At 49.4% G+C, this 27,399-nt stretch overlaps 1 long non-coding RNA gene across 3 annotated transcripts in view, besides 1 other annotated feature; it reads right to left on the reverse strand.

Annotated features, from left to right (window-relative positions):
* Window positions 1-27,399, reverse strand: part of LHX1-DT (LHX1 divergent transcript) — a 74,988-nt gene that overhangs the window by 25,121 nt on the left and 22,468 nt on the right. For 2 of the 3 annotated variants that reach the window (NR_135670.1, NR_135669.1), the window contains one exon: window positions 20,201-20,745. The exons of the other annotated variant lie outside the window; for it this stretch is intronic. This is a non-coding gene — a long non-coding RNA (LHX1 divergent transcript). Of the gene's footprint in view, window positions 1-20,200; window positions 20,746-27,399 lie in introns of those variants that run through there. 3 annotated transcript variants of the gene reach the window in all.
* Window positions 4,074-4,368: a silencer, noted in NCBI's record as "tiled region #9746; K562 Repressive non-DNase unmatched - State 20:ReprD". NCBI's record gives its function as "represses a minimal TATA promoter and a strong SV40 promoter by Sharpr-MPRA in K562 cells {active_cell/tissue: K562}" and the evidence as "EXISTENCE:reporter gene assay evidence [ECO:0000049][PMID:27701403]".

Genomic DNA, 27,399 nt, shown 5'->3' on the forward strand with positions numbered 1-27,399 from the left:
CCAGCTACTCAGGAGGCTGAGGCACAAGAATTGCTTGAACCTGGGAGACAGAGTTTGCAGTGAGCAGAGATCAAGCCACTGCACTCCATCATAGGTGACAAATTGAGACTCTGTCTCGAAAGAAAGAAAGAAAGAAAGAAAGAAAGAAAGAAAGAAAGAAAGAAAGAAGAAAGAAAAGAAAAGAAAGGAAGAAAGAAAAAGAGAAAGAAAAAAGAAAAGAGAAAGAGAAAAAAGAAAGAAAAGGAAGGAAGGAAGGCAGGAAAGGAAGGAAGGAAGGAGAAAGAGAGAGAGAAAGAAAGAAGAGGAAAGTGAGGCTGGCAAGTGGCAAAGCTCAAAATTCAAACTCATGACTCCAAAGACTGTGCACTTTCCAATATGGCTCCCAACTTCAACTCATGAACAGAGACCTTAGTTGAAGTCAGTAGGGGAGGCTGAAGGGGGTGATAGATGCGGGAGGTATGTATCAGTGTTCAAATATGAAGACTGAAGAGAATTGGGGTCTTCACATAGGGATCAATGGTAGGAAAGAAAAGAAAAACAGAGTTCCCAACCATTAGCACAAAACTGACACACAGTAGCTATAAGAAATGAATGATTGGTGGAATGAATGAACTGAAGCCCTAAAATAAAAATCAGCATCCTTGTTCCCGGCTGGGTGGGGGATAATGCCCAGATACTGAGAGAGAGGAATAAATCTATGTCCCAATGCGGGATCAATGTCCCAATCCAGAGTTGGACAGGAAAGGGAGTTCCAGTGTAGAAATCAATACCCCAGTGAAGATTTGGTTGAGGCCATCAGCATCTCATATGGGGATCAATGTCCCAATGGAGAGTTGGTTGAGAGGAATTGATGCCCCCCACCATACAGATGGGTAAGAAAGTCAACATCCCAATGTAGAGATCAATGCCCCAATTCAGAGTTGGTTAAGGAAAATCGATGTCCCAATGTAGGGAGCACTGTCCAAATATCCGGATCAATGGCAGTCAATGATATACAAAAGTGGTGGTAACAATGTTCCAATGTGATATCAATGATAGCCAAAGTCCCACTATAGAAATGGATGGGAGTTCATGTCCCAGTGTAGACACCAGCTTGCCAATATGAAGATCAATAGGACACCTATTTGTGACTTCTAGGCTTCCCTTGGAGCTTTTCTACTATTTGCTCTAAAGGGGTGACAGTTCCCAGGGTCCCTACTCTGGCTAAGTCCTCCACTGCAGAAAATTTGGGCATCTGCCCCAACACACCCCAGCCTGGTTATCCACAGTAGTTCCTCTTGGAGTTCCCCTTGGACTTCTGTAGCCAATCTCCAGAGACAGCTTGCAAATGAGTCCAAAAGATCCCAGCAGCCTGGAAGAGGCTACTTACTTTCCAGGGATTATTTCCTGCAGGGAGACCAGGCCTCTGGCTCTTCCAGACTCAGCCCAAACCAGTAGCAAGTGAGATATAGTCACAACCAGTCACGTTCTCACTCCTTGGCTTGATATGTGTCTAAAATCCACAGTTATCCATGTTACTATTGCATCTGTCATTTGAGTGATTGCTTCCCCACATTTTACAGCTGAGAAAAGCAAGGCCCAGAAGAGTAAGTAGGTGGCCGCAGAGAAGTGGCAGAGATGAAACTAGAAGCCTGATCCCCACCTGCCAGCTCAGCCCTTTTCCAGCTGATCTAGGTTGATGTGGCAGAACACACCCCACCCCCAGCCTAAGTGGGTTCTGGGAGTGTGTCACGCAGTTTAGGCAGACAGGTTCAAGGGATCTCTCCCCCAAACCTTCACTTTCCTGCATCTTTCCCATCACTGCTCAAATTCCCCAAAGTTGGGAGACAAGAAAAAGGCCCCTGTTGCTCTCCAGGGTTGGCGATGGAGTTGAGGGGTGAGATGACTAAAGCCTCCCAGCTTCAGCTGCCCCAGGGGCTTAAGGGGAGGGTGTGATTTTTCTCTTGCTCAGACAAAGGCTGGGGCTGTGGCATCTGTCGCTGACTCTTGTGTCTTGCAGCTGCTCCGACAGTCAGACCCAAGGCAGGTGCCAGTTTGGGGAGGGAGGGGCATGAGCGCCCTCAACATGCACTCAAACTCCACTTCTTCCCCTCACCCTCACGTGTAAATGCAGTGTCTCCTGCCACCCTTCCCCACCCCAACAAGCCCACCTTGTCCCTCCAAGACCTAGGGTTTGGGGGATGAGACCCACATTCCCCATGACTCTACTACCCCTTCCCCAAGCGCTTGTCCTGCCGAGTTCCGCTGCCATCACACTTGAGCACCTTTGCCCAGCCAAGGAGGAGCTGGGGGGAGGGGCTGTCTGGCAGGAGATAGGGGACCCTTGTGCCTGATGGGATGTCTCTTTACTCAAGCTTCTCTTCTGGGACCAGAGAGTTTTCTGCAGGCCTCCTGAGAGGCTGGAGCCTCCAGTTCTTCACCCTGGGAAGGGGAGAGGCTCATCACAGAGATGAGCAAAACACTGCTGGAAGGGGAGAGAGAGAGCCTGGGGTATTGTCAGACTAGGTGTGTGTGTGAGAGAACATGAGAACACATTCCCCCCCACACAGGGATATTCATGCACAGTTTTGCAGACATACATGCATACATGTGCACGCGTGCACACACACACTGTCATGAAGCCAAGAGACATGAGACAAGTTGGAAAAGTGTTTCAAATACCCAATCAGCACTCTGTGTTCTCCATCTTTTCAAAAATATTTATTTATTCACGTATTTATTAAAATCACATTACAACCCCATCCCCACTGTCTTTTCAATGTGTAAAGAGAAGCTTAAGGCAAAAAAAAAAAATTTTAATTAAAAAGAAATGCAAAATTTTCATTTAAAAAGAAAAAAGAAAATGTCTAAGGCAGCTGAGGCTCCTCCATTCAGGCGACTAATTGTAAAGATCATACACGTATTTTCCTTTTAATTCTGTGAGCAGGGAGAATATGGTCAGGGCAGCAGTGGAGCCAGGAGGAGGAAGATGAGGGTGGTGGTGAGAATGTCCCTATTAAGACGACGATACAGGGGAAAAAGAATATTTCTGTGCAAGCTGCTTGATGGGGAAAAACGTAAATTTTATACAAAGATGCTCCCGAGCCCCCTTCCCAGTGCAAGCCTCTAGACTTCTTGCTCCCACTCCCAACCTCCCAGCCGCCTCCCTCCTCCTCCCTGCCTGTCCCAGGCCTCTTCTTCCCTCCCTCCCCTGCAGCCCTCACCCCTCCCCAGGGCCCCCTCCTCAGATGCAATCCCCCTGCTGTAATTTCTGGGGGAATTGCTTCATCTCGGGTGCAGATATATTTGTGTCAAGGTGCAGCTGCACAGATAGCCTTCCTCTATGCATAGTAAGAGGGTTTCAGAGAGAGAGGTTGTGCCCAGAGCAAGGCCTTATCAGAGCAAGCTGCCTGCCATTTATCTGACTCCCCATCAAATAGGAAAACGGGCCTCAGGCTGCTGCTTCCACTTTCCTTGGGAAAGCCATGGGGGGAATAATAATTTACTCCAATCTTTTTGTTTCCAGCGCTCACCTTCAGCCTGACACAGCCCCTCTGCCACTCCCCACTTCCAGCAATGCCAGCCTGGGGGTACAAGGTTGAGCCCCAGCCCCCAAGGGCCCACCCCAGGGACACCCCCAGAAATGCCCTTGCTGGTTGAGTGGACCTTCATAATGGATTGGCATGAGCTGGAGAAGATCCCCTTTGGCATCAGGGATTGTAGGCACAGGAGAAAGGAGGCAGAGACCCGGTGGGGAGCTGGGGAGGCTTGGCCTGGCTGCAGGGGGCCTGGCTTCCTTCCCAGCCCCCACACATATGCAGATCCCCCACAAACTCTCACTGTGTGCGTGTGTATGTGTGTGTGCTCACACGCCCAGATGCACATGCAGTCCCTGTATGAGGACCTATCGGTACCTTTATCTGTGTGTCTGTCCATCTGTCTGTCTGTCTGTGTCTGGGGAGGAGATGAATGGGGGACTGGGGGCGGTTTCTGTTCTGTGTCACAGACTCTGACCTCTCATCTCAGTTCACAATCCCAACAGCCATGAGCAAGTCCAAGACAGGATGACAGGGACTGTCTGAAAGGGAGTGAACAGTGGGCGAGGGAGGGGTCCCAGCCGGGCCTGGTGGTGGGTCGTCTTGCCTCACCCTCCCTGGCGAAGGCTGCTCCAGGGAGCAGCAGGCAGCCCATCTGGTGCAGGAGCTGCAGAGAGGTGGGCAGCGGGGAGGGGGCTGCTCCCCACAGGCCAGCCATAAATCACAGTTATGTGGCCAGGGGGCAGGGGGCAGCCGTAGCAGCACACACAGGACGAGGCAGAGAGGCCAGGGTCAGGTGCAGCTGTAAATTGTCACCTAAATGCTTCCAAGTGAAGGCTAATCAGAGCACGGTGACAGAACACACCTGGCCCCACCCTGCCCCAGTGGGCACACTTATGTCTGTGCAAGCACATACACACTCACAGATACAAAACCATGCTGGGACATGTTCTGCATACAAAGCTGCACACGCAAAGGTGTCACACCCATACCTGGATACACAAAGACACACGTGTTTGTTAGTGCCATGTGTGCATGTGTTCGGACACACTCCCAGGCAGCCCTGTACCCATCGTGTTCATTCAGACCCAAGGACACAAAGATCTACCTAATGCCCCTGGGTGGATACGCCCATGCACAGGTGGGCATGGAGAGTGGAGAGCAGACACTGTCCGATGCCCAGGGCTAGTATGATCTGGAGGGCAAATCCCCCACCGGGAAGACGCAGGAATGAAAAGAGGTAAACGTACTGAGTGGAACTGGGCCACCCCAGCCCTGGAACCCCAGTGACTATGCTCTCCTCCCAACCTCTCCCTGGCTGGGCCTTCATGCCATTCACCAGCCTTTCTCTAGAAGGTCATTCCTCAAATGTGAAGAGCTCACACCGCACCCATGGTGGAGTAAGATGGAATTTGGTCTCTCCCTGCACCCGTGTTGGAGTAAGGCTCTTTCATTCATTCACTGCCATCTACTAGGCATTGTGCGAGGCTCTGGCTATAGAATGCCCCACCCTCAAATGTAAAACCTAGCAGAGAAGAGACAAATGAGCAGATGCTTACGGCACATGGGGATCCTTGCTGCAAGCGAGGCTAGCCCAGGGCAGTGAGGACATGGCAGAGGGGGACAAGGAAGGCGTTCTGGAGGAAACTATGCCCAAGCTGAGGCCTGACACGTGGAAGCCAGCCAGGTGGAGAAGCAGAGTGAAAGAGGGAAGTGTGCAACCCTCCCAGAGAATGTCCATGGCAGCAGGTAAGGAAGGCAAGTGATAGGATGGCCCTTGGCATGTGCTGAGGCACCCCACAAGGCATCCACCTCTGAGCCTTGAAACCAGCAGTGAGACTGCTACACTCCCTTACCTGGACCCGTCAGGGGACACCCAGCTTGCATCTCCCAGGGCTTCCCTGGTGACTCTTGTACCCTGTTCTCCATGCAAAGGCAACCTGACCAGAGGGAAAACTGATAGCTGGACCCAGCCTCCAGCAGATGGCATCATCACTGGTGAATGGAACAAGGATCAGGAGCCCTGAGGGGCGCTGAGAACAAAAGCACCGAGCCCCGTTCCCCAGCCCTCTTCTCTCGGGCCTCCTGGAAGTCTGCGGAGTTTCAGCAAAGCCTTCTCTGATTCATTCTCCATGCAGAGGCTTTTTGAAGGTGCTCAGGGTAGCTCTGCGAGGTCCATGGAGCACCTGGGATTGAGGGTGATGAGGATGGGTTGAAAAGCAGGACTCTGGGACCCCAGCCTCAGTTCAGCCCTTCATCCACTTGCCCTATTGGGCTTCCTAACAGGACTGCATTTGAACAAAGGACTCAGTGTGGGAAAAGGGCCAACCCATAGGACAAAGTCCAAAGGCAGCTTGGCATTCAGCAACCCCCAAACTTCACCCTATCTGCCCTTACTCCTGTGACTCAGCCCAGGGGTCTCTCTACAGCCCTCAACACTCCCCTGCTCCCTCATCCCACCAGCCCTCCTATACACACCAGTCCCCTTATCCCTCCCACCCCTGCCCCACCCTGACCCTCTCCCCAAGCCAAACTCCAACTCTTCATTTTCATTTCCAAACACTCCATGAGTACCTGCAACATACACGCCCTATCTCTTGTAAGTCTCCTCTAGAGAAGTCTGGGAGATGTAGCTTCATTTTACAAATGAGAAAACTGAGGCTCGAGAGCTTAAACGATCTGTGACCTTAGGAAAGCTGCAGGAAAGCTCATTCTGGGCCTAACCTAAGCCTCCAAGCACAGAATTGATTCCCCTCTCTTCCATCCCACCCACAGTGACCATGGAGCAGGGGCTTTTCTCTCCTCATTCTTGCACCAAGGCTTAGAAGAAGGCACAAGTTTCTGGGGGTCAGTGGTCAGAGGTGAGAAAGAGAAAGAAGAGAACCAAGGCATCCTCAGAAGCAAAGAGTAGGGACACCATCCTGCAAAGCAAATATGAATTATTTCAGAACATTTTCAAATGAAAAATCCTCTCTTCCTGCCCAGCCCTGTGATGCATTAACTCCTCTTTCCACCCTTCTCACCTGTGTGGAGAGTGGCCAGGCCAGGAGGGCCCCACCCAGCCCAGAGCTCCCAGGGAATGGGGCTGGAAGTCAGCCCATCGTTTCTTTGGCCTGAACGCCTTTTGGTTTGCTCAAAGTGTCTCCTGATTCCTTGTCTGCACCCAGGATCAGTGAGCAAGCATTACCGGGAGCCTTTCCTACTCCTAACATTGTGTGTCCCTTCACAGCTTCCAGGGAACCCTCCCTACGCTCCAGGAAAATGGGCTGTATTCTTCCCATTTTACAGATGGGAGACAGGTTCAAAAGGTTTCAGTGACAAGCCCAGGGTCTGATAAATGGCAGAGCTGAGACTCAAACCTGCCATGGACCAGATGGCCACAGGGGAAGGGGTGCCTGTGGGTCACATGTTCATAAAGGGAGGCCTGGCCTGGCCACGATGGCCATTGACATCTTCGGTTATGAGTGTCCTCTCTTTTTTTCCTGTCTTTTTTTTTTTTTTTTTTTTGAGACAGAGTCTCACTCTGTTGCCCAGGCTCAAGTGCAGTGGTGCGATCTCAGCTCACTGCAACCTCCACTTCCCAGGTTCAAGCAATTCTCCTGCCTCACTCAGCCTCCTGAGTAGCTAGGATTACATGCGCATACCACCATGCCTGGCTAATTTTTGTATTTTTAGTAGAGACAGGGTTTTGCCATGTTGGCCAGGCTGGTCTCAAACTCCTGACCTCTGGTGATCCTCCCACCTTGGCCTCCCAAAGTGCTGGAATTACAGGCATTAGCCACTGTGCCCAGCCAAGTGTCCTGTCTCTCTTAAGGGGGTGGCTCCTTCCAGTCAGGTAGAACAAGAGAGAAGAGAGCAGAGGCTCAGGCTCTCAGGCACGCTTCCGACACTTTTGGAGCCCCAGTTTTCTCATCTCCTCAATGGTACGAGTAATATTAAATAGTATCTGTCCAGGATTCTTGAGAGAACTCAGTGTGACTGTGCCAGGAGCCTGTGCAGTGCAGGCTCTCCACACACGCCCGTGGCTTCCTCATGCCCTGAAGCATGAGGGTGGGCTACGTGCTTGTTAATTGATGGAAATGCCTGGGTGGAGGACATCACATCTTGAGGTAGCTGGAACTGCACAGGGCCTCTGCTCTGTGCCTGGCCTGCACGTGACATGGTGTGAGTAAGGAGTCCTTTTTTCTTCTTCCCCTACCCACTGCCTGTCCTCTCTTGCCCTGGGGAAGGACCAGCCCCCTCAGAGCTTAAGCAGGTAAAGGACGCGGAGCAGCTCCTTCCCAGCTGGTTCAGGGTTTTTTTTCCTAGGTAGGGCTGCCCCTCGACCCACACCCCAGGCCAGCCTCGCAGAGGCCTCTGATCCCCCTCACGGATCACTGGAAATGGACCCAACACTCTCCATCACCACTGCAGACAACAGCCTGATACAAATTTGCAGGCAAAGGAGGGGGCAGTCGATACGGATTAGAAAGAAGGACCTCCTCTGGCCTGGAGCCTGGGGCCGCCATTGATCAGCATCTTCACTGAGGAAGCCAGCTTGGCCAGTGGCCAGTGGGCACCCAGGTCGGGGCCATGGCCTCAGTCTGCCACCTTACCCCGCCAAAGAGTCCTGAAGAACTGGGGACCCCTAAGTGCACTTTGTAGAGGAGGAAACAAAAAATCAAGGAGAGATCGGGGAGAAGCAAACAGGCAACCCAGCCCCAGCCCCAGCCAGCTCCGCACCTCCAGCAGAGCCAGTTTTTCTTGGTGTTGAGAAAATGGTCAGCAGCTTGTCACAGTCCAGTGAATCTAAACAGCCCTCTGGAAATGTTGTTGAATTTCAGTCCCAACGCAGAGATACCCATATACATGCCTGCCTCTCCTCCTGCCCCTTCCTGAAACACAAACAGTTCTCTCATGGTTGCATACACGCCATGTGATCCAATTCCATCTGAGAGCATTTGTTGAGTACCCATGTGTGCTAGGCTGCGACTATAGACAGCTTCATGCCCTAAGGAATACACATCTAAGAGAAAAGACAAACGTGACAAGAGGTCATCATAGGGCTGGCGGAAAGGTGCACCTACAGAAGTACAAGCAGTGTATAGAAGAAGGGGTGATCAACTGGGGTTGGGGATGGCACTTCTCACAGGAGATGTCTCAGCAGAGTTTCTAAGGATGAACAGGAGTTTGCCAGGTAAACGTGGTGACAAGTGAATTGTTATCATGTTGCTTCCCACCAACATTTGGCCACACACTGGGCTCTCCTCCCTTTTGCTGCCTGTGTACTTTCCATTACGAGCTTCTTTCACTCACAACACGCTCTATGCTGTTCCACTTGCCTGCAATGTTCTTTCCCTTCATCCCTGACTATTCTCTATTCAATCTTCAAGGCTCACCTTAAAGAATTATCTCTCCTCAGAGAGAGCTATGGCCCCCCTAATTAAAGGCAGCCATAGCATCCTACATCTTCCATTTTCTAACTCTAACAAGCTCGCTGGTTGGTTGGTTTGCTGGCTGGCTGATTGGTTGGTTGGTTGGTTGGTTGAGTGGATGGATGGCTGCATGGATGGATGGATGGATGGTTTGTTCAAGAAGCTAAACTAAAGAGAAATTAGAACTGCAGAGATATGTAGAGTACAAGGGAGTGGGATAACTGTGGTAGAATCATGGGAGATGAAACTGAAGAGTCTGCCAGGGGTGGGATTGTGGAAGGTCCTGTAGCCATGCCTAGTACACATTGACATACAAAGTGAATCCTAGAACCTTAGCAGTATGTTCTGGAGATAATAGCATCTTTGAAGGGGTAGAAAGGATATGATACCTTTCCTCCCCATCATAAGGGTCACAGCCAAAATTTCTATAACAAAAACCAAGTTAATAAGAGAAAAGCATTAAATGTATTTAAGCAAAGTTTGATGTGACACAGGAGCCTTCAGAAATGAAAACCCAAAGACTCAGAGAAAACTGTCTATTTTTACGTTTAGGTTCAATGAAGAAGGGGACAGCCATATAGAAATGTGATTAGACAGAAAAGATGTGACTTAACAGTAAGAGACTGAGTGGGGGAGCCCAGCAAGGCCTGTCTGTTCAGATTCTTCTTGGCCTCTCTGCATAGCATTCCTTCCTCGCTGGTATAGGGCAGGACCCCTTCTGGAATGAGGGTCTTATGACCTACTACCAGACAAGGTAGGTCAGAGAATTTCTTTATGGCCACCTCCTACACACAAAGGCAGGGGAAGGGGTAGAGTAATATTTCTAGTTTCTATGACCCGTCTTGGAGAAGAGAAATTCTAGTTTCCATGGCCTGCCCTGGGGGAGAAAAGGGAGCAGGAGAAAAAAGACCAGGAGAAGGTCAGAGAGAGACTTTGTTTCTGAGGTCCCGCCAGTGTCCTCCAGTTCAAAGTACTCAGCATGTCAAAGTGCCAAACTGTGGGGTATCATTTTCTAATCCCCAATACCTTCATTTTGCAAATGAGGAAGCTGAGGTCCAGAGAAGTGGGGCTTGCTACGAATCCGCCAGAGGGCAGAAGCAATGGCTCTGCCAAGATTATACCCCTGGGCTTGGGCTCCAGGTCCAGGGCTCTTTCAATGGCACACTCAGCCTCCTATATCCCCGGAGGGATTAGACGTGATAAGATATGCCCTTATTTTTCAGGGGTCTCCTAGGTTGGGCCTTCCTCTCTGGATATACTGCCAAAGGCCACGTGCCGTGCTCCCATGCACACAGCACCTGTATCCATCAGAGCAAGCGACTGAAACCCAGCTTAATCTAGTTTCATCCAAAAGGGGAGCATTGGCCTGTGTAACTGGGAAAGGCAGGTGCAGCTGACTTCAGGTGCAGCTGGATCCAGGCACTCAAGCAATATTGCCAAATCTTACAACTCTGTGTCTGTCTTTGTGTTGGCTACATCCTCTCCTCCTGATGTGCTTCCTTCATCTGGGGTAAGAAGGATGGGTGGGGACAGATGGCATGACCTCATGGAACTGGTAAGGTAGAGAGAGGGAAAACTTGCCTCTGTATAGAAAATCCCAGCTAAATCTTCCAGTGGTTCTAGCTCAGGTTCAGTCCCTGTAATTAGAAAAATGGGGCACTATGATTTGGCAATCCTAAATTTCTGGATCTCATGTCCGTGTTAGAGGCCAGGAGAGGGCATGGTACAGTGATTGACAGCTTATCCATTGAAATGGAAAGGAGAGGACAATTGCTTCTAGGCCTTTTGGCTAAGACCAAGTGAAAGGAGAGGACATTACTTCAAAGGGAAGGGGTGCTGTTCAGAGCAAGGGAGGGATGCTGAGCAGTCAAAAATGACAGATGGCCACAGCAGTCCTATTCCAGTGCTGGATAACAGGGCAGCACCTGGATGACTCCTTGAATATAATAATAATAATAGGCCGGGCACGGTGGCTCACGCCTGTAATCCCAGTACTTTGGGAGGCCAAGGTGGGCAGATCACCTGAGGTTAGATATTCGAGACCAGCCTGGCCAACATGGTGAAACCCCATCTCTACAAAAGTTAGATGGGTGTGGTGGCACCTGCCTGTAATCCCAGCTACTCGGGAGGCTGAGGCAGGAGAATTGCTTGAACTCGGGAGGCGGAGGTTGCGGTGAGCTGAGATTGCACCACTGCACTTCAGCCTGGGCGACAGAGCAAGACTCCGTCTCAAAAATAATAATAATATAGCTTTTAGAGTATCCTATGCAAGTACTCTGCATACATTGTCTTATTTAATCTCATTTAAATTTGAAGGGAGCAGGTTTGAGTCCCAGCTCTGCCATTTATCAGACCCTGGGCTTGTCACTGAAACCTTTTGAACCTGTCTCCCGTCTGTAAAATGGGAAGAATACAGCCCATTTTCCTGGAGCGTAGGGAGGGTTCCCTGGAAGCTGTGAAGGGACACACAATGTTAGGAGTAGGAAAGGCTCCCGGTAATGCTTGCTCACTGATCCTGGGTGCAGACAAGGAACCAGGAGACACTTTGAGCAAACCAAAAGGCGTTCAGGCCAAAGAAACGATGGGCTGACTTCCAGCCCCATTCCCTGGGAGCTCTGGGCTGGGTGGGGCCCTCCTGGCCTGGCCACTCTCCACACAGGTGAGAAGGGTGGAAAGAGGAGTTAATGCATCACAGGGCTGGGCAGGAAGAGAGGATTTTTCATTTGAAAATGTTCTGAAATAATTCATATTTGCTTTGCAGGATGGTGTTGTGCGCTGTCAGCTCTGTAATAACTTTTAGGCCTTTATTTATTGTTTTGCCTTAATGATTTCATGTTGCTCCAGTGTCGAGAATTCTCAGTGTCTTGTAACACATAATGGCAGAGAAGACTCAGGCCATGGCAGGCATGGAGCGAGGGTGTCATGCTCCCCGACAGACCCCACTGGTCTCCAGGAGATGGCAGAGCCTAGAGCAGAAAGCGGAGGCCATCAACCTCTGTGCAAAGTTATCTGCGAGCACTAATTCTCAACAACACCCTAGGGAGCTGGTACTATTATCCCATTTTACAGAAGTGAAAACTGAGCCTTGGAACAATCACAAGACTTGCCGTCTGATCGTGTGTGACCAAGCCAGGATTTAAACACAGGCCTGTTGGTGTGTCTTCAACTTTGGCATATATAGAAATTACCTAGAGAGGGCCAGGTGCAGTGGCTCATGCCTGTAATCCCAGCACTTTGGGAGGCCAAGGCAGGTCGATCACAAGGTCAGGAGTTCAAGACCAGCCTGGCCAATATGGTGAAACCCCGTCTCTATTAAAAATACAAAAATTAGCTGGGCGTGGTGGTGGGTGCCTGTAATCCCAGCTACTCAGGAAGCTGAGACAGGAGAATCACTTGAACCCAGGAGGCAGAGATTGCAGTGAGGCGAGATCCCGCCACTGAAGGGATCCCACTCCTGGGTGACAGAGCAAGACCAAAAAAAAAAAAAGAAAGGAAGGAAAGAAAGAAAAGAAAGAAAGAAGAAAGAAAGAAGGAAAGGAAGGAAGGAAGGGAAAAGAAAAGAAAAGAAAAAGAAAAGAAATCATCTAGAGAGAATCTAAAATATGGGTCCCTAGGACCCAACTGTGGAGATGGAATTCAGTAGGTCTAGGATGGAGGCTGAAGCTCTGCATTTAGCAAGGTGCCCAGATGAGTCAGAGCCATAGGAACTCAGCTGGTGGCTGGGACCACACTAGTCACATAATCAGTGGGACCGAGTTCCTCAAGAATTATGGTCCCATGACTGGCCCATTTCTCTCACAAATGTCCCATCAGCTACTCCTGTTCCTCTGCCATTCTCCATCCTGTATCTCTGAGGGCTTGGACTGCCCCGCACCCCCAGAGCTCTAGCCCCTTCTGTGAAGCTGGGAGAGGAAGGGGAGAGGAGGGGAGGAAGGGGAGAGGAGGGGAGGAAGGGGAGGCTTTCTTGGTTGCCATGGTGATTCTCCACCTCCCAGTCTGTGGGGGGAGGCAGCTTCATTGTGAGCCTCCAGCCAAGGCCTGGAGGGCAGCAAGCTGTCCTGGGCTGGGAGGATGCAGAGGGGTGGGAAGAGGACTCTAGCCACTGGGGAGAGGGGAACAGGGGAAGACAGGCTGGGGACAAGGAGGAGGACCCTCGGCCCAGGGCAGCCGGAGCAGAGAGCCAGCCCCTCCAGATGCTGGGGCTGCCAGCCTTCAGCCCAGGAGGCGAAGAGGGGTGTGTGCAGGAGCTGAGGCTGACAGGGCCTGATGCTCCCTGAGCCCAGAGCTGGCAGAAGACCCAGGGCAGGTGGTGGCAGAGATGCAGGGACGGGTGAGACAGCTAGAGAGGCTGGCGCAGGACAGAGTCAGAGCCACAAGGGCTGGGAAAGACCAGGGCTCAGAAAGCAAAGAAGAGATAAAGAAAAATAAAACAAAGCAAGAGAACCCCTCAAGGACCCCAGGCCATGGCCCACTCCCACCCCCAGCGGGGCCAGGGCTGGCACAGCCTGGGGTCCCAGCCTGCTGGGCTGGGCTGGCAAACCGGATGGCACAGGCTGCGGCAGAGGCAGATGGAGCAAGGAGGGGCCTGACCCACGGCCCGCTGGGGAATGGCTGGGATTGTCTGTTCTTTGGAGCCCTCCCACTGTCCCCCAAACCTCCTGCCTCTGGGAGCATGCTGGGGAAACAGGGAGAAAAAAAGAAGCAACATTTCGGAGCCAGCATCTCCACCTCCTCCTGCTCCATGTTGGCCTTCTTTCCCTGCCAGTGGCACGTGCTGCATGCTCCCAACCTGGCTCTGGCAAAGACCAGGACATTGTTGGGGGGCTGGAGAGTGATGTAGGGGAGGAGAGAGGAGGGAAAGATGCTGGGAGGCGACAACTCAGAGGGGAGGAAGAGGAAGGAAAGGAGAGCCCTGGCAGAGGCCATCCCTCACCACCAGTATTTTTGAAGCAAGCACTTACTTGGTACCAGGCCCCACTGAGTACTTCCTGTGTATTCACTCATTTACTCCTCCCAACAGGCCTATTTCATAGGTGCTGTTGTTCTAATCCCCATTTCATAGATGAGAAACTGAGGCAGATAGGGGTTGAGTGACCTGCCCAAGCGACAAGCTGGGAATCAGCAGAAAGAGGGATTGAACCCAGGAGAGGTTCAGAGGTTGCTCTCTTAGCCACTACACTCTCCTGTCCTTCATGCCCCTCACCCACGTGTTGAGTGTTTCAATATTTTTTCCTTCTTACCCATCTTTTCTCAGTGTTTCTCCAGCCAGCCCTTATTCCTTCTGGTGGTGTGTCCCAGTTTGCCTGGGCCTCTAGGCCAGCACCAGGACATGAATGGCCGGGAGCAAACACATCGCGTGTATGGACACATGGACACACGGACACACATGCACGACTGCTGCGGAGTCCACCAACATGTGAATGTCTGTACACATCTGTACAGAACAAGTGCGCACACCCATGTGTCTGTGTACATGCACACGGGTCCATTCGCACATGTGAGGCCACCATTCATACCACACCCTGGGTGGGTCTTGAGTTCTCACCCACAGAGCATTAACTGTGGCAAAATAATCCCAAACAACGGTCGAGTCAAAAAAATCTGTTTGGCTTTGTACTAAAGTGCTGCTTGGCATATGGGGTTTTTGGCAATACATTTACCTTTCTAGGTTTAGCTCGGGCTGATGTGGCTTCCTGCATGTCAACCTCTGAGAACCTGCCAGATGCCAGGCCCTCGGCAAGGCACTACCCAGACAGTCTCTCCACGCCTCACGGCAGCCATGAGGCAGGGCTTGCCATCCCCATTTTACAGACAAGAACCTTGAGACAGCGAGTTCCCATTTGCACAGACTCACAGGGAGAGTGAGGATTCGAACCCCAGGGCAGTTCAAGGGTCGGTAAAGCTTGAGTGCCTGCAGGTGGGTTGTGAGCCAGACATGTGACCTCCCAGGCGTGCCTCATCCGTCTGGAATGTGGCTGCCTCACCGTCTGGTCACGTCTGGGCCCCTCTTCTGCAGCGAGGCTGGTGGGTATGGAGGGGCTGTGGTGGCTCACGCTGAGCTGCTCTACAGAAGGCCCCACACAGGGCCGGGTGCAGCGAGGTATGAAAAAGGCTTTTCCCCAGCGATGACGAACACGATAGTGATGGCTCAGACTATACAAAGAACAGACTGACTTATCACCACCACATAGACACAGGCATATCCATTCCTTCAGTATTTCTCAAGCACCTACTATGTGCCTGGCATTTAATGGGCTCTGAGGACCATGCAAATAGGAATCAAGCTTGGACCCTGCCTTCCTTCCAATAGCTTAGGAGAATAGTGATCAGGTGTGGAAACAGCTTTCATTACAAGGCTGAAAAAACCTGAATGCTGTAAGAGAAATGCAGATGAAAAATGAGAGTCTACTTCCCACTGGGGACATCAAGGTAGCCCTCCTGGAGAAAGAGGCTCCTGATGGGTCTTGGAGAGTGGGTATGATTTGATGCAGTAATGAAAGTGAAGGGGTTCTTGGTTTTCTAAAGAACACAGTTCAAGACATAGGATGGGATATTGGCGGGTGGACATAGGGAAAGCAAGTAGCTCCATTTGTCTGTGGCAAAACTGTGTGAAGGGAGTGGCAGGAGGTAGGTTAGGGTCAGATGACAGAAGATCTTGAGATGCTGGACTAAGAGCTTGGATTTTATAGATAAGGGGGAGCCATCAAAGACTGTCAAACAAGGGAAATCCTTGGGACCTGTTTCATTTAGTCTAGACTAATCTGCAGTTGTGAACAAAGTAATAGATTGGAAATATACATGCATGCACACATACACATACATGCACACATACACATACATGCACATCTTCAGAAATGTGCAGACGTGGCAGACCCAGTGGCTCACACTTATAATCCCAGCACTTTGGGAGGCCGAGGTGCAGGGATTGCTTGAGCCCACAGTGAGAACTTATCTCTACAAAAAATGAGGATCACTTGAGCCCAGGAGGTCAAGGCTGCAGTGAGCCATGATCGTGCCACTGCACTCCCACCTGGGTGACGGAGCAAGACCCTGCCTCAGACAAAAAAAAAAAATGTACAAACACACATGTACATGAATGTACACTTCAAAAGCAAAGGATTAATTCCTGAACCCAGCTATTTTAAAATTCTGAATTGTATTTGTTTATTTAAACATGGCCGGGTACAGTGGCTCACGCCTGTAATCCCAGCACTTTGGGAGGCCAAGGCAGGCAGATCACCTGAGGTCAGGAGTTTGAGACCAGCCTGGCCAACATGGTAAAACCTTGTCTCTAACTAAACATACAAAAATCAGCCAGGTGTGGTGGCGAGTACATAGTCCCAGCTACTTGGGAGGCTGAGGCAGGAGAATCGCTTGAATCTAGGAGGCAGAGGTTGCAGTAAGCCCAGATTGTGCCACTGCACTCCAGCCTAGGTGACAGAGGGAGACTCTGCCTCATAAATAAATAAATAAATGTAATACATTCACAGTATCTAAAATCCAAATGAAATATAAGCAAATGGCTGGGTGTGGTGGTCCACACCTGTAATCCCAGCACTTTGGGAGGCCAAGGTGGGCAGATCACCTGAGGCCAAGAGTTCCACACCAGCCTGGCCAACATGGCAAAACCCCGTCTCTACTGAAAATATAAAAAATTAGCCGGGCGTGGTGGCAGGAGCCTATAACTGCAGCTACACGGGAGGCTGAGGTAGGAGAATCGCTTGAACCCAGGAGGCAGAGGCTGCAGTGAGCCGAGATCATGCCATTGCACTCCAGCCTGGGCAACAAGAGCAAAAATCCTTCTCAAAAAAAAAAAAATATATATATATATATATGCAAATATGCTGAAAAATTAAGCTACTTCTCACCCCGTGTTCCAGGGCCCCAATTTGTTCTGTCCAAAAGCAAGTACAGTGGCCAGTTTGAGAGCTTCCTTCCAGAGACCTTCTGTGTTTAGACAAGCAAATACCCAGCTGCATTGTTATTACATACGTTTTTCTGCACCTTGGTTTTCTCACGTAATATACCTTGGAGATCCTTACATATCAGTACACGGAGGGCTGTCCTGGTCTTTTTAACAGCAGTATACTCCTCCATAATAACGGGACATTTACATTATTTCTGCTCTTTTGCTCTTACTAAAAATGTTGAGCACCTACTAAATGTGCCCAGCACATTTATTGAGCACCTGCTATGTGCTGGGCAGCATTCCAGGTGCTAGAGATAGAACAGTAAACAAAACAGGCAGAAGTCCCTGCCCTCATGGAACATGACTTCTATTGTGAACGTGTGAGTACATCTTCAGGATGCATTCCTAGAGGTGGAACAGCCGAAACAAAGCATCTGTGCATTTTTAAAATTTAGTAGATAAAGCCAAATCCCCATCCCCACCAAGACAGAGTCTATCAATTTACCCTTGCAATGTATGAGAGTGCCTATTTTCCCACACTTTTACCAACAAAATGTTATCAGATATCTTTATGTGTGCCAAGGTGACAGGTGAAAAACAACTGTGATTTTAATTTGCATTTCTCTTATGATGAGTGAGGTTAAGCATCTTCTCATATATTTGAGAGCAATTTCAAGGCTGGGCATAGTGGCTTATGTCTGTAATCTCTGCAGTTTGGGAGGCAGAGGTGGAAGGATCAATGGAGCCCAGGAGTTCAAGCCCAGCCTGAGCAACTTAGGGAGTCTCCATCTCTACAAAAAAAAAAAAAAAAAAAAATACAAAAATTAGCTGGGCATGGTAGTGTGCACCTGTAGTCGCCTCAGGATGCTGATGCAGGAGAATCACTGGAGCCTGGGAGGTCAAGACTGCAGTTAGCCATGATCATGCCACTGTACTCCAACCTGGGAGACAGAGCAAGACTGTCTCAAACAAACAAAGCAATTTCAGGCCCTTTCCTGTCAACTTTCTAATATCCTTTGCTCATATTTTTATTAGATTGTGGATATTTTTCACACTGAGCTGTGGATATTTTTTTTTGGTCTATTAAAGAAATGAGCTCTTTGCCTGTGGTGTGAGTTGCAAATATTTCTCCCCTAGTTTGTCATTGGTTTTTGTACTTTGCATATGGTGGGTTTTTTTTTTTATAATGCAGACTTGTAAAATGTGAAATAAAATTTTAAAGAAATTCTGCTCATGCACTTTGCCTCCTTATGGTGAAATGTTTGTTAGGATTGAAAGAGATATAGGCTGGTGCAGTGGCTCACACCTGTAATCCCAGGACTTTGGGAGGCCGAGGTGGGCGGATTATTTGAGGTCATGAGTTCGAGACCAGCCCAGCCAAAATGGCGAAACTCTTCTACTAAAAATACAAAAATTAGCCAGGCATGGTGGCACGCTCCTGTAATCCCAGCTACTTGGGAGGCTGAGGCATGAGAATCACTTGAACCTGGGAGGTGGAGGTTACAGTGAGCCCAGATTGTGCCACTGCACTCCAGCCCGGGCAACAGAGCAAGACTCAGTCTCAAAAACAAAAAAAGAAAAAAGAAAAACAAAGGCATATAGATGCCAACAACACAATCTTGGGTTCCATTAATAAAAGCACATGTTCTGGCTGGGTACGGTGTCTCACACCTGTAATCCCAGCACTTTGGGAGGCTGAGGCGGGTGGATTATCTGAGGTCAGGAGTTTGAGACCACCCTGGCCAACATGGTGAAACCTTGTCTCTACTAAAAATACAAAATTAGCTGGGCGTAGTGATGCACGCCTGTAGTCCCAGCTACTAGGGAGGCTAAGGCAGGAGAATCATTTGAACCCAGCAGGCGAAAGTTGTAGTGAGCCGAGATCGCGCCATTGCACTCCAGGCTGGGTGAGAAGAGTGAAACTCCATCTCAGGAAAAAAAAAAAAAAAGTGCACGTTCTAGAAAAGGAAGGTGAGTGTCCTATCCTTTTCTGGTGCTCCATCTTAAGAGGTCTTTGGACAAAGAGGGGCAAGCTCAGAAGAGGGTAACCAAGATGGTGACTGGGTTTTAAATCAAGTCACATAAGGAATGGCAATAGAACTGGCATCTTTGAGCCTAGAGCAGATCGCTGTCTATGACTATCATCTGAGGCAGTGGGACTAGCCTCATGATATAAAACCAGGCCGTATGGTGGAGAATCTTGGAAGCCAAGAGTCAGACAATAGAGCTCTTTTCAAGGCAGAGCTGTCTGAAGGTGGAATAGCCTATTTTGTGAGGAAATAGTTCATTACCAGAGATGCACAAACTGGAACTCGATGACGACCTCTCAAAGATGCCAAGGGTTAGGCCACATCCCTTTCAAAACTCCTTCCAATCCTGAGACCTCATCATTCTACAAGAATACAAGGAATAGGCCTGGTGTGGTGGCTCACCCCTGTAATCCCAGCACTTTGGGAGGCCGAGGTGGGCGGATCACGAGGTCAGGAGTTCAAGACCAGCCTGGCCAATATGGTGAAACCCCGTCTCTACTAAAATACAAAAATTAGCGGGGCATGGTGGCAGGCACCTGTAGTCCCAGCTACTTAGGAGGCTGAGGCAGGAGAATCGCTTGAACCCGGGAGGCGGAGGTTGCAGTGAGCCAAGATCGCGCCACTGCACCCCAGCCTGGCTGACAGAGTGAGACTCCATCTCAAAAAAAAAAAAAGAAGAAGAAGAATACAAGGAATATTAAAATTCTTCATTTTACAGATGAAGAAAAGGGGGAAACTGATATGCATTGTGCACCTACTTTGTCCTAGGCACTTCAGCATATATGACTTGATTTTAAAGGATGAGAACCAGGAAGGTTAAGTGGTTCACCTAAGGCTGCACAGCAATTTAGAACTGGAACCCACATCCCCAGTCTCCAACTCTAGAGCTCTCTCCACTGAACCTCCTGTCCCTGATGAAAAATTAAACATATGTTCACTGCATGTTTATTGCATACCTATTCTGAATGGACACTAACGTGGACAAGAAAAGCACATTGTATGCAGGGTGTTAATAAAGTCATGGGGTCTTTGCTCTGCAGAAGGTCACTGCCTAGTGGGCAGGTACAGGTGCCATCTCTACGTTGCTTGATTTAATGCAAATTGTGTCCCCTGGAGTTGTGCAATGTGGTAGCCCCAGATAGACCGATAAGGAAATATGAAGCGATTTGGCAAGTGTTGTAATGAAATCACACACAAAGTGCCATGGGAATGTAGAAGGCATAATTAATTCTACTAGGGAAGTGAATCCAGGAAAGCTACACAAAGGAGGTGATGCCCGAGCAGGGCCTTGAAGAATGTGTAAAAAAACAAAAGGCAGAAGAGAATAATATGTATATTCATGCCACATACATTTATTGAGCAGTTCCAGGTTTCCAGGGATAGATGAATAATTCACTATTGAGTAGGGGAGACAGACAAATCACCAATAAATTGCCATAGCGTATAAGTGTAACGGTGAAAACGTACTCGCCAGGCAAAAGTGGCGATAGCTCCTTCTGGAATCAAGTGAGGCATCTGGGAAAGCTCCTGGAGAAGTGATATCTGAGATTTTAGGAGCCGAAATAAATATTTTCCCAGGCTGATGATAAGGCAATTGGGAGAAAGGGAAAAGCATTCTAAGCAGAGGGAATGGCACGTGCAAAGTTTCTGACTCTTGAAAGATGATTCTCTCTGTCTTCAGGTGCCCAAAGCAGATCTGAAAGGCTTGAGTGGAAAATGTGGGCATGGTGGGTCGCCAAGCAGGAGGTGGAATTGACATACAGGCGTTTGGGCAGGACCCACCAGGTTTCCAGATGAGTGGGGAAACGGCATTGGTGTGTATCGGGATTTAGGAGGCTTAGCAACCTTCCCTTCAAAGTCATGCCCCAGATTGAGAGCTGGAAGAGAAAAGTGTGAGCTGTAAATCCCCAGCTCCTCCCGCTGTGCCCAGTACTACAGAGCTAGGAGTCTCCACCAGCTCTCCAGTCCCACCGCTGCGACCCCGGCTAATCCAGCCTCCTGGCCCATCTGACACACACTTCCACTTAACATTTTGTTAGCGACTCTATAAACGAGCTCTCCCTGACCTTCAATCCCTGGCTAATTGCTGGTTTCATGTACAAGACTAGCTTAATTTTACGTGATAATTACCTGAGAGTGGCAATACATATGGCATTGCATGTTCGAAATGTCAGGCCTGGAAATCTACCAAGTGGCCATAGTCAGGGGCAAAGGGAGGAGGCAGCCAGGGGCCACGAGGAGAGACAAAAATTGTGGACACTCAATGCAGACAGAACTCCAGAGAAGCAGGGTCCTGGTCTACAGCAGGTCTCAGAATCCTCAGCTGGTACAGTACACCCAGGGGCACAGGCCAGAGGAGCGGCATGTGCCGCAGCCTCACATGCGCATGCGCCCATCTCGGAGAAACACCAGCCAGGTCAGAGGCACGGCTCATACACGCTCTCAGTCACCTTTTCAACATACGCTCACTGAGCCCCTACTATGTGCCAGGCAGTGTACAGGCAATTGTACTAGTTTCAAACTCCCACCCCACCCAGGGAAGGTAGGAAGATGTGGAGGGTATGTTTGGGTTGTCACAATTATTTGGGGGCTGCTACAGGCACTGAATAAGCAAGGCCAGGAATGCTAAATGGCCCACACAGTCCCGTTCAATGAAGAATTGGCCTTCCTGTTGCTTGAGCCCAGGAGTTCAAGAGCAGCCTGGGCAACATGGTGAGACTCCATTTCTACAAATAATAATAATAATAAACCAATTAGCCAGGCGTGTTGGTGTGCACCTGTAGTCCCAGCTACTCAGGAGGCTGAAGCAAGAGGATCCCCTTGAGTTCAGGAGGTCAAGGCTGAAGTGAGCTGTGTTCTTGCCACTGCACTCTAGCATGGGCTACAGAGCGAGACCCTGTCTCAATTTAAAAAAAAAAAAAATTGGCCTCCCCAAATGCCTGTGGTGGCCCCACTGTGAAACACCCTGTTGAAAACCATCACATCTAAGCCAGGACCCCAGTCCGGAAGAAGCCAAGTGTCCTCTGCCCTATTGGAGATTACAGTTGGGGAAGGAAGACAATGGCAAGGACTTGTGCTGCATGAGAGAGTAATGGAAGGGGACCCAGGAACATGTGACAGGTGAACTGACAGAGTCCAGAGTTCAGAAAAGACCTCCCTTTAAAAGTGACGGCCGGGCACGGTGGCTCACGCCTGTAATTCCAACACTTTGGGAGGCAAAGGGCGGTGGAGCACGAGGTCAGGAGTTTGAGACCAGCCTGCCCAACATGGCAAAACCCCGTCTCTACTAAAAATACAAAAAATTAGCCGGGCATGGTGGTGGGCGCCTGTAATCCCAGCTATTCAGGAGGCCGAGGCAGGAGAATCGCTTGAACCTGGGAGGTGGAGGTTGCAGTGAGCCAAGGTCTCGCCACTGCACTCCAGCCTGGGTGACAAAGAGAAACTCCATCTCCAAAAAAAAAAAAAAAAGTGCCATTTCAGAACTAAGCTAGACACAAAAGGATTAACGTGGCAGGGTTCCACTTCCATGAAGTACAAGAGGACTGAAATTCATGGAGAAAGAAGTAAAAGGGTGGTTGCCAGAAGCTGGGGGAGGAAAGATGGGGAGTTATTGCTTAATGGGTACAGGGTTTCAATTTGGGACGATGAGAAAGCTCTGGAGATGGACACTGGTGATGGTTGCATAACAATGTGAATGTACTTAATGCCACTGAACTAAACACTTTAAAATGGTGGAAAATGGTAAATTTTATGTTATGTGTATTCTACCACAATTTTAAAAAACAGTGCTTACAAATCTTAGTCGTGCGCTGCTGTCCCCTGCCAAAAAAGTGTCATTTCAGCTGCATTCTAAAGGAGGGGCAGGACACAACTCATCCACTCATTTGCTGCACAATAGTTGAACAGCACCTGTAAGGCACAGGTTTGGAAGAATTTCTGTCTTCTGCGTCTCAGGTTGGATAAATAAAGCAAGTTCTCTGCCTCACAGTGCTTCAGTCCAGCTAGCAAGAGAAGCACGTCTCTCTGGTATACAGAAGAATGAATCCAGAGGGGGGACCCACACAACTCAGAAGAAACACACCAAGGAGAAAGGCAGTGCATCTGGAGGACGCAGAGAATTAATGCTCTTTGGAGAAGTGGCCACAACATGATCTTGAGAGGTGGGGGCACTTGTATAGGCTGAGATGGGGGAGAAGCCAGCCCAGAAACTGCCTCTTTCCTGGATGACCTCTGTCCCCAAGACCATTTGGGGCAAAGGAGCTATTTACTATAGGAAGTGAAGACCCATTTTTCTCCCAGCACCTTTGGTGCCCAGAACAGCACTTGGCACAAAAATAAGTGAATACGAAATGGTATCTGTGTGTGTCTGCACCACGTGCCACACACCTGGGTACACACATCCACTGCAGAGGGACAGCTCAGGTTCATTTTTTCCTCATCACTCCAGGGAACAAGGCAAGGCAGGGAAGGTCTAGAGCCCTGTGGCAGTGGGGCAGGGGGGCATGGGCAAAGAAGGAGAAAGGGTGCTTCTGGTCCCCTTGGGGGACCCTTCTGTGGGAAGCCCATGCACACACACACTCAGAGGCACACAGGCCACAGGATCAGGTAAGAGGCACAGTCCCCAGATGAAGGCAAGTTCTAAAAACCCCTTTAGCCTCCTCACCCATGGAACTGTGGACTCCTAAGCTGTGTTGGAGTAAATTACTTGCTTAATGAGATTTCAATTAATAAAAACAAATTAAAATCACTTTGGTAATTAAGCTGCTGTGAACCTCGCCAGCAGCTCTCCCTCAGACCTCAGATTTCCATGGGGAAGGAGCTGGGAACGGGGGTCCACTTGGACTCAGGCAGCAGTGCTGCTGGGACCTAGGCGGCAGGGGGCTCCTCGCCTTGGGGCTTCCACCCCAGGAGCCACAGCTTCCTCAAACCAGAGGTGGGTGTATGGGAGGGTGCAGTACACAGCAGGCAGCACAGGCTCTAAACTTCCATTCACATCGAAGCCCTGCCACTTGGTGGCTGTGCGACCTAGGGCATGTTAATTAACCTGTCTGAGCCTCAGTTTCCTCATCTGCAAAATGGGTTAATACTAGTAACCTACATCATTGGGTTGTGGGAAGATTAAAGGAATGAACGCATGTAAGAATATAGAAGAGGGCCTGTCCCACAGCAAGGGGTCTTAACTCACTTTACCCTGTGTGGTGCTATGGGGGGACTTTTCCAGTCTTTATGATTTGCCTTGTCCTGAACCCCAAACCCCTCCAGGAAAGCCCTATTTCTCTGAGTTAGGTGAATGAAGACCTACCCACAGAGGTTCCCTTGGAGGTGAGGTTTCTCCAAGTTCTGTCCCACCCAGGCCCCCATCTCTTTTCATCAGAGCCAGCAGCTCAAATCTGGGAGCTATAACACTAAAATCTCTTGAAGAACAAACACTCCTGTCTCTGGGTCACAAAATCACCCCCATTCTCCCACATGAGAGACCGGGAGGGTTAAGTAGTGCTGATGTCACTGACCCCATTCCGCAGATGAGTAAAAGGGCTTAATGACTTACCTGGTGGCTCAAAGAGAGAAGCAGTGCCCAGGGCTAGCTGGAATCTGAGAAACCCACATTCTCATCCAGTGCTAACAGAACTGTAAACAATTTCAGCCTTTCTGGAGGGCGCAATGCTAAGTGTATAATAATTTGAAATTATTAAGGTTTTAGGTTTTTTTTGTTCTTTAAAGTTTGTAGCATTTACACTTTTGAAGTTATTAAAGCAAAAACTACACTAAGCCTTTTGGGACAGCCGTGTGTGTGTGTGTGTGTGTGTGTGTGTGTGTGTGTGTGTACTTTACGTATAACATGTTTTATATATATATATATATATATATATATATATATATACACAAACACATACACACACACACATCCCAAATGCCAAATGTCATTTTTCTCTGTGGTGGTAGAAAATACAGATGGTTTTTGTTTTACTCATTCATTCACTCATTCGTGCAATAAATATTTTTATTTTTATTTATTTTTAATTTTATGAAGACAAGGTCTCACAGTTGCCCAGGCTGGAGTGCAGTGGCATGATCTCAGCTCACTGCAGCCTTGACCTCCCAGGCTCAAGTGATCTTCCCACCTCAGCCTCCCGAGTAGCTGGGACCACAGGTATGCACCACTGGACCCAGCTAATTTTTTATTTTTTATAGAGACAAGGTCTCTCTATGTTGCCCAGGCTGGTCTTGAGCTCCTGGACACAAGCAATTCTCCCGCCTCAGCCTCCCAAAGTGCTCAGATTACAGGCATGAGCCACCACACCTAGCCAGCAAGTATTTTTAGTGTCCATGAAATAGCACAATGAACAAGACAGACTTAAACCCTGTCTTCGGGAAACTCACAGCCTCTTGATGAAGATGGACATTGAACACAAAACGACAAGGTGAATATTATAGAAGAGGAAGGGCGGGGCCTCAGATGCCCATTACAGAAGGAAGCAATGGAGAGGGTGAGATTTGCCATAAACATTTATTTCTTTTGTAATTAGACTAAAATAAAACAATGTATACATTTTTAAAATAAATCCCAAGGGTCCCATAACTAGTTAGTAACAGAACTGAAAGTGGAAACTAAAAGCATTCTGGCTCCTGGGCAAATGATTTTTTTTTTTAACTGACACCGCCCCTGGGAAGTTTGAATAGCATCCTAGTCTTCAGTAAAAAATATCTCAAAACTCTCAAAGGAGATGTCTGACAGAGGTGGTCCTATCATCTATGCACCTCGTGTCAGATGGAGGAGATATATCCCCATTCATACATCCATGTCAGATGGAGGAGGCTTTGTGCGCACGCGCGCGCGCGCACACACACACACACACACACACACACACGCCCCTCTGACTCCTCCTGGCATGCCCTCCTTCATCTGTGTGGCCTTTCTGGATGATGAGAGATGTTACTGGGATCCAGAAAGGGTCACTCCAATTGGCCACACACATACGCCCCATGCCAGATGGTACTGGGTCAATGGGCAGTGGGTAGCTCACCACCACTCATCTCTGGAGGAGGAGTCCCAAACATTCCTTGCTCTCAGTGGCCCCAGTCTCTCCACCAGCTGACCTCCAGTCCTGTTTCAACCCACCCTGGCTGGGTCTGCCATCTGGGGGCCAGGCAAAAGGGGGAACATCTCAGCACCCAGAACCTCCCACCATCTGCTCCTTCCCACTCCCTGAGAAGTGCTAATCTCGCAGGGCCCTTCCCCTGCAGACCCCTTTTCCCTGGGGAAGGTGAGGGTGGTGCCATCCTCTAAGTGCCCAGCTTCGGTGAGGGCTGCTGGAGCCGTGATGCCCTCCGCTGGGAGATGCCACCCGATTCCATGTGCCATCTTCTCCTCCCCTCAGACTTCATGTATCATATTTTGTGCTGACTTCAGACAATCAAGGGAGGAGGACACAGAGTTGTACTTTCCAAGTAGCTGGCAACCCTTAATCAATGTTAATTGGCTCTAATTAGCATATGTTAATTAATGATATTTACTATAAATTAAAGGTATGAGTGCTCCCAGAGGTTTCCTGTTCATCCAATTAGTGCCAATTAGTTGCAATTAACACGTGTAAATGAGATTCCATTGAACCCAAAACAAACAGCACAGAATCTCTCAGATTCCCCCTTGCACCTTTTCAATCAGCCAGAGGAGGGGGTGGAGTGTGGAAGGTGAGGGAGAGACAGGAGAAAGAGAGACGCCCCAGACTGATCTCTTGCAGGAAGCTGACCCTCCCACCCACCCGGAATGAGAGCGGACAGAGCCACACTGGGCAGAGCGAGCCCCTGAGCATGCCCTTCTGCCCCTGGCTCTCCCTAGGGAGGGCTCCCTAAGGGCCCTGGCCTTGAGATGCTCTTTAGAGCTGAGGGCCATCCCTTGGACATCTCTGAACCTGCCAGGGCTTAACCCAGTGCATGGCACATAGTAGGTGCTCAGTAAAAATAAAACTGGGGGCCGGGCACGGTGGCTCATGCCTGTAATCCCAGCACTTTGGGAGGCCAAGGTGGGCGGATCACCCAAAGTCAAGAGTTCGAGACCAGCTTGGCCAACATGGTGAAACCCCATCTCTACTATAAATACAAAAATTAACCTGGCGTGGTGGTGCGTGCCTGTAATCCCAGCTACTCGGGAGGCTGAGGCAGGAGAATCGCTTGAACCTGGAAGGTGGAGGTTGCAGTGAGCAGAGATCATGCCACTGTACTCCAGCCTGGGCGATAGAGTGAGACTCTGTCTCAAAATAAATAAATAAGCAGGATGAATTAAAAGTTGGTTTCCTTGCATCAAGGTCCAATATCTTTAAATATATAAAATTAAAGGCTGTAATGGTTTTTTTTAAAGCATGCAGTGTTCTCTTCTCCGTAAGGTCTTCCCAAGGGGCCTACCAAGGGGCAAAGTAGGATTTGCCTCTATCACGTAATTTTAATATAATCTATATATGTCCACAGAGATTTTACTTCACTGCTAATGCTATTTCTTTTTTACTCAACTACTCTCTGAGGCCCAAACCTCT

This window comes from Homo sapiens, chromosome 17 (assembly GCF_000001405.40).
Source record: "Homo sapiens chromosome 17, GRCh38.p14 Primary Assembly".
Taxonomy (NCBI): Eukaryota; Metazoa; Chordata; class Mammalia; order Primates; family Hominidae; genus Homo; species Homo sapiens.